Raw genomic sequence first — 7,090 nt, forward strand, 5'->3', positions numbered from 1 at the left:
CGATTCAATTACCTCCCATCAGGTCCCTCTCACAACAAGTGGGAATTGTGGGAGCTACAGTTCAAGATGAGACGTGGGTGGGCACACAGCCAAACTATATCAGCCCCAGACCCGTATGTCTTCTGTATCTTTACATCTCCTCTTGGAAGTCTCATAGGCCTCTTTATGCTAACATGTTCAAATCTAAGTACATCATCTTTCCTACAAATTCCAGATTCTGTCTCCTTCTTGTGTCCTCTGTCTCAGCAAAGTGCTCTGCTTACCCAACTGTGTAAACCAGAAACCTGGGTTCATTAACATAGTTCAAATTTCCCTCTTCAGCTTATTTTCTTCCACTTGTTTTAGTGCAGTTTTTCATCTGCTCAGGACTGGATTATTACAACATCCCTTTCTCTCCTTCACTTTACCTTCATACGGCTGACCGCATGACTTTCCAGTGTCCACATTGTTGTTCACCCATTTAAAATCCTTTAATGACTTTCTTTCAGTTTCAAGATAATGGTCAAACTTCACAGCATGGTCTATTATTTATGTATTGTTGCCTAACATATAACCCTACAACTTAGCAGTTTAAAGCCCAAACATGGTCTCTGAGCATTAAGCATCTGGGAGTAAGCTTGTAGTCAAGCTGTCAGCTGGGGCCGCCATCTCTGAGTGCTTGACTGACTGGGAGATCTGCTTCGTAGCTTACTCACAGGATTATCGGCAGGGGTTTTCAGTTTCTTACTAATCTTGGACATGACCTGCCATCACTTCTGCTGTGTGCTGTTGGTCATACAGACCAGCCTTGATAGAATGCAGGAGGGGACCACACCACTGTCTGAATACCAGGATCACTGTGGGTAGGGCCATTTTGGAGACTATTTTAGCTTCCGTTTCTATTGTACTTCCATATCAACCTCCATCATAACTATTAATTTCTTCCTTGTGCTCTGGATTTTAGCTATGCTAAACTTCTAATGCATTGTGTTTTCAAAATTCTTTGTCACCACTTGCTGTTTTCTCTTCCTGAAAAATCCTTTCTATTCAATTTTTTTTTTTTGCCTGGATAACTCTATTTTGCCTTCTATGACCCTTAACTTCCAAAAGACCTCCCCTGACATCCCTTGACTCCAACTTTAGGTCTTTCTCTAGGCTTTCATAGTGCTCCAACTCATCTCCATTGTGCTACACTCTAGTGTGCTACTAGAGTGCACATTGTGCTACTCTACATTTTATTGTAATTATTGGTTTATGAGTCTCCTACACTCTAGTGTGATGTCCCTGAGTTGAGAGATAGTGGATTATTTATCATCCATTTTATTCCCAATATCGAAGTGCTGGAACACAATAGGAGTTTAATAAATGCGTGATGAATGAGTGAATAAATGAATGCCGAGTTTACTGCAGAATATGAATTTTAGGGAGGAAAGAACACAAGCTCTTCTGTCAAATTTTATTATGTCTTAAAATTTTGTGGGTCAGGATTATGGGAAGGCTTCTCCTAGCAATTCTTTTGCTCCATGTGGCGTTAAGTAAAGTCACTCAGCAGTATTTGACTAGTCCGGAAAGTAAAAGATGTCCTCATTCATGACTGGCACCTTGTTAACCATGACTAAAAGGTTAGGCTCGGCTGGGAGTACCCATTGGGGGCTCAACAGAACGGCAGCTCAGGGTAGTCTGATTTCTTGGATGGCTGTTAAGAGCTCTCAGAGATAGTGTTTCAAGAGAGCAAGTAAGAAACTTCAAGGCTCCTTCTGGCCTAGCTTTGGAACATCACTTATACTGCATTTTATAAGTTCCAGCAAGTCACACAGCCAGCCAGTATCCAATGACAGGAGACTACGAGGTCATGAGTAGCAGGTGGCACAGCTCATTGGGAAGCCGACTTTGGACACTAGCTCCCACAACTATAATCAACTATTGTCATGTTTAGCCTATGCTAACTTTCTCTACTATTTTTTTGAATGTGAAAATTTCCAATGTTTCCATCTTGTCTTTGTGAATAAAAAGGAGGAATATGGCTCTATTACTGTACGTTGAGGCAGATGAGCAGCTGAATGAAAATTATATCCATAGGGTGTTTTACATAAGTAGATGTCAAAGTTAAAGGAAGTCTATACAGGCATGATAGAGGGCTTTGTTCTTTAATTGCAACCTTTTCAATGGATAATTTGATAAAGATTCTCAACTGCGGTGGAATCTCTTTTCTAAGGGCATTTTAGAGGTGTGTAGTATGATTTTCCATTGTCACAATGTCAATCAGATGTTGTTCATTAATATTTAATTCCATCCTGCAATATGAGGGACAGTCCCACACAACAAAGAATTTTCCTGTCTAAAATTTCATTAGCACTCTTGTTGAGAAACACTGAATACATAAAGATATGCCTCTCATATTTGCGGATGTCACAACCTATTATAATTATGATATGAGAGAACTGACTCAATAGCTGATTATGTGGAAAAAATAGAGATTTTAGTTGGATGCAAGAGCCAACTTCATGATGTGTCTGCCAAAAATTGCTGCTATCTTAAGCTATATTAATAGAAATTTCAGTCCAGAACACAGAAAGCTATATTAATAGAAATTCCAGTTCACTATATACTGGTCAAAGAGCTCTTGAAGTTTGATGGTCATTTCTGGGCACCTGGTTTTAAAAGTGGCGTAGATAAATCAAAGAATGGCCAAAAGGAGGACAGAAAGTCTGGAAGCCATGCCTTACGAGTGGGGAAACATGAAAGCGATCTTCGAATATTTGAAATGTTGTGTGAAAGAAGGATTGGGCACATCCTTTGAGATTCTAGAAAGCAAAATTAGGTTAAATGAAGAAAGATTTTTTAACCACTGAAACAGTTTTTCAAAAAATGTAGTGTTCTGCCTTGTGTGATAATTATCCCTGCCTTGAAGGGTCCCTGCAGAGAGTGGACAGCCATGGGCCAAGGGGTGGTTTTAAATTAACTGAATATTGTGAAGAGAACACCTATATGAAGTGGTACCCTTCAGTTACTTTTCATTATTGTGATTATTTTATGATTAATGGACTCGTATTTATAAAATACTGTGGACACCACCTCTCCATGCTTCTAAAATAATGCCTCAGTTCTTAATACCTTTCTCTAGCTTCATACCCCTAAAGAAATCCCTTAAGCTAGCTAAGATCTCATTTCTTCAATCACAAAATAAGAAATTATGGTGCTTGACATATTTGTTTAACAGGATAGCTATGATCATCAAATTACCCAATAGTTTTAAGCTGTAAAGTATAAAACAAAGAAATTATTTTTTTTCATCAAAGTTGTGGACTGTCAATATGCATTCCTATAACTGTCTTTTGCCTGAGAGAAATGTTTTAAAATTATTTTTAAAGCCTATTCTAATGACTTGTCATTATTTTCCAGCTTTCTGATAAGGTGTGAAGGTCTCTAATAGCTGTCAACAGTGTGTCACAGGGAGTGATTTAATTAGCACTTACTGTTCTCTTATTGGTTGGCCTTTATTTGGTCCAATACAAAGTCCAACTTTTAAACCAAGGGAGAAGACAAGAAAGGGTGACGCAGAGATAAGCTTTTGCTTAAAAAATGTTTATTTGGGGGAAAATGTTATCATCATGATCTTCCAAAACACATTATATTACTAAATGTGTATTGGCATCTACTCTCTTACTTTAAGATGGTTCCAGTTTTTGAAGTAGCCCAAATCCCCCAGATTGTTACCAGAAATTATCAAAAGGAGAAGAAACACATTCACTTCAGCTGATTTTTGTTGTTGTTTATTGGAGATCCAAGGTAGTCAAATTAGCCTCAAGAAGCCCTTCTGAAGTCTAAGAAGGAAAACCAAATTACTGTTCATTTAATGTTTAATTAAATTTATTATAGCTAGTAGGCTGGTTTTAGGCTGTTTATGGTACACTAATGTTAGAATTTTATGCATTCTATGTACACTTGATAGCACATTGGGGTCTCTCGGTATAATCAACATGTACAATATACTCATGCCCATTTTATGTGAGTTGGAACACACCTTTACTATTTTAAATGATTATAGAAGTTTATAGTTATATTTCTCCCCTTAAATTGTTAGTGATGTCTATAATTTATTTGATGCCACATTCTTGATATGGAACTCAATTCCGAATTAGCAATCTTCCTACAGGGAAAATTCTACTTGGTTCATAAAATGCATTTTAGTATGAGATTTCTAGGAATGCGGTTACAAAATGAGGCAACCGTCTGCATTTTCACTAGAGGTAAATGGCGGTTTTTTTTTTTTTAACTAAAGATAAAGATGATAGTTCTTCACATGGAACTGCAAATAAGTGAAAGTGAATACTGATTTCTCCTGACGTTGCGAGCGTTGGTCTTCAGTGCCCTTCCATTTAGAGTCATTCCTTCCCTTACCTTCTGCAAGTGTTTCTACATCAAAAAACAGAGCGGAAAGAAATTTTCGAAAACATCTTGTCCTAGTCTGACCCTGCACGTATAAAAATGCTGAGGTCGGGGTGTCACAAGTGACTTGCCTCGACCTGTGGGGCTGGGAAAGGCGGGAGCCAGGCTTGAATTCAGATCTGAATTCAAACCCGGGATGATTTTTCCTATTCACATTTCTCCTTACTATTGTGGTGAAACTTGAGGAAGCAAGCAGGAGACAGCATATGTTATTTGATACTAAGTCCCTGCTATAGAAATGCCCCTCCCTACTCCCGTCCTCCTCTCCAGGTGTTCTGATGATAATCAATAGTGTTCCAGTTATATTGGGCAATGTCTGGGAAGTTCTAAAGCTCTGCCTAGAAAGGGAAAATGCCATTTGAGTTGCCAGAACAAAATAAATTTGATGGACTCCCTTACCTCTAAGGTACGCTCCTTGTGATAATTACCCCTTTATTCTCTCTGACCCTTCTGGGCCCAAGGCCTCCCATGCCCAGATTAAATGGTTACTATATACTTATTTATGTTCCATCAGCCAATATCCTTCAGCAAGAGTAGCTGCAACCTTGATTTGTTTTCTCCTTTTACAGCGATGTTGCTGGAAGAGGTGGATGGGACATTTAATTTGGCATTAAATTCTATGCTGGTGCATTATCCCCTATGGCAAACAAAAGTGGTGTGGAAGGTTTGCATTTATGATTTTGCTCAGTTCAACTCATTTTTATGCCCAGGGAAGGTTTTTGCTCAAGCTTTTCGTGCTTCTATTGCAGTTTTATTTCTGATTTCATAGAGATGATTTCGTAGAGGGAAACAGTCTGCTTTCCCTTTGTATTCAGACTACCATTTTCCATTTGGAAGTGTTGGCAACAACCTTGTTTCTGCGTGTATGTGCAAAAGAAATAGAATGTTTGAATTTTGAGTTCTCTTCTCAAGGGATGTGGTCTGTGTCAGAGGCAGGCACGACAGGGATACCTTGTATCTGTGAGCTTTTGCCATCCAATGTGCCTGGGAGGGAAAGAGATTCCTCTCAGCTCTTCTTTTCCTGTTTCATTCCCTCCTCTGATTTCATAGTGGATGTTGCAGTGGGGGGTCTACCATCAGCAGGATTCACAACCAACTTGTTCTGTGCTTTAGAGTGATCATCTATGGGATGAGGTTGCCTCAAGGCTTTGCTGGATAGCTGCCAGCCCCGAGACCTGCCAACAGTCCCCTTCTTCTCAAGACCTCACAACACTCCAAATTGCTGCTTTCTCTGCAGAGAAATGCTCTTTGCTCTCTATTTCCTCTTACCGTGGCCCTTTGTCCTCAGCACTCGGCCCGAATTCCTTTCTTCACAAACAATAAAAAGGTATGCCCTCAATTTCTTCCTCCCACCCAAGCATTGACCACATTAGCCCTGTAATCTTTTTTTCTTGGCCCTTGTCTACACTTATTTCCCAGCGTGTCCTTGGTTAGGAGCGGTGTGTGTGTGTGTGTGTGTGTGTGTATAAAGTGAACTGCAGAGGAAGAAAACAAAGAAGGTGCAACAGCGAAAGACTGCAGGGGCAAGCAAGGCTTCTGGAGGGAACTTGGGCCTCACTGCCACTCTCTTGCCTCTTCCAGGGTTTCTTGATCACTGATGTTTCCAAGTTGATATTGGCAGTTTTGAAGAAGCCTTTGTTCTTCATGTATGTGAGAGAAAGGGACTAAAAAGGATAGAAAAACCACAATTGAAGCTGCTAATCCTGAACAGAGCCCGAGGCTGTGGAAGACAAAAAGCACCGTGCAAAATAAATTGCAGAAGAGAAACAAGAAAATTCACAACGGTTTCCTATGCCTGGCCTATTTCTACAATTCTTCTGTTAATGAATATTCGTTTTCTACCTGTAGTTCAGCACACTGTTAGAGGAAGAATCAGTCCTCTAACCACACACAGGCTTTCCCATGCCGGAACATTCCAGTCTTGTATCACTGGGACAGAACCCCCAAGAGCCACAGGGCGAGACACCACAAGTGCTTCCAGCGTCGATCGCTAGATGGAGCCCGTGTTATGCACAAATCCAGCCCCAAGGGTCCTGGGGTAGCTGGTGAAGCCATTAGCTGGAGGGCAGCAATTTTAAAGGGTGGTACTTGATTAAGAGAATCCATTTCTCCTACAGTTAGCCCAGAAGCCCAATTGCTCTTGCAGGTGCTTAAAAATTTTCAGTATGTGGATTCACGTTATTCTCTCTCTCTCTCTCTCTCCACCTTGATCAACTATCGCAGGTCTGGATGAGCTCCACTGGCAGCGCTGGTCCCTCCAGGCATCTCGGCAGTAGCTGGAAGCCCCACATTTGGGGTGAGACTCTCTGGCTTCATGAGCTTGCTGCTTCAGTATAATTAGCTGTCTAACTGCTCACCCACACGGAGCCCATATGTGTGTTACTAATTATGATTTATTTAAAAACTCTCTGTTTGCCATTCTTTGTTCTCTATTTCCTCTTTATTGAAGGGCCGAGGGAGGGATTTGATTTGGAAGCTGTTCTGAATGGTAGGTTTTACCTTCCTTTGCATTTTCTGGACTTTTCCTTCTAGTTTCAAAATCTAGGCAGCTTCTGTACCTAACTCTCAGCATGCTGACCTGCTGCTTGCTACCTCTCCCTCCAGCAACAAAATGTACCAGGACAGGTGTGGTCACAGCATTTAGAAGGAAGTAGCTATTACA

This window comes from Homo sapiens, chromosome 11 (genome assembly GCF_000001405.40).
Source record: "Homo sapiens chromosome 11, GRCh38.p14 Primary Assembly".
Classification (NCBI taxonomy): Eukaryota; Metazoa; Chordata; class Mammalia; order Primates; family Hominidae; genus Homo; species Homo sapiens.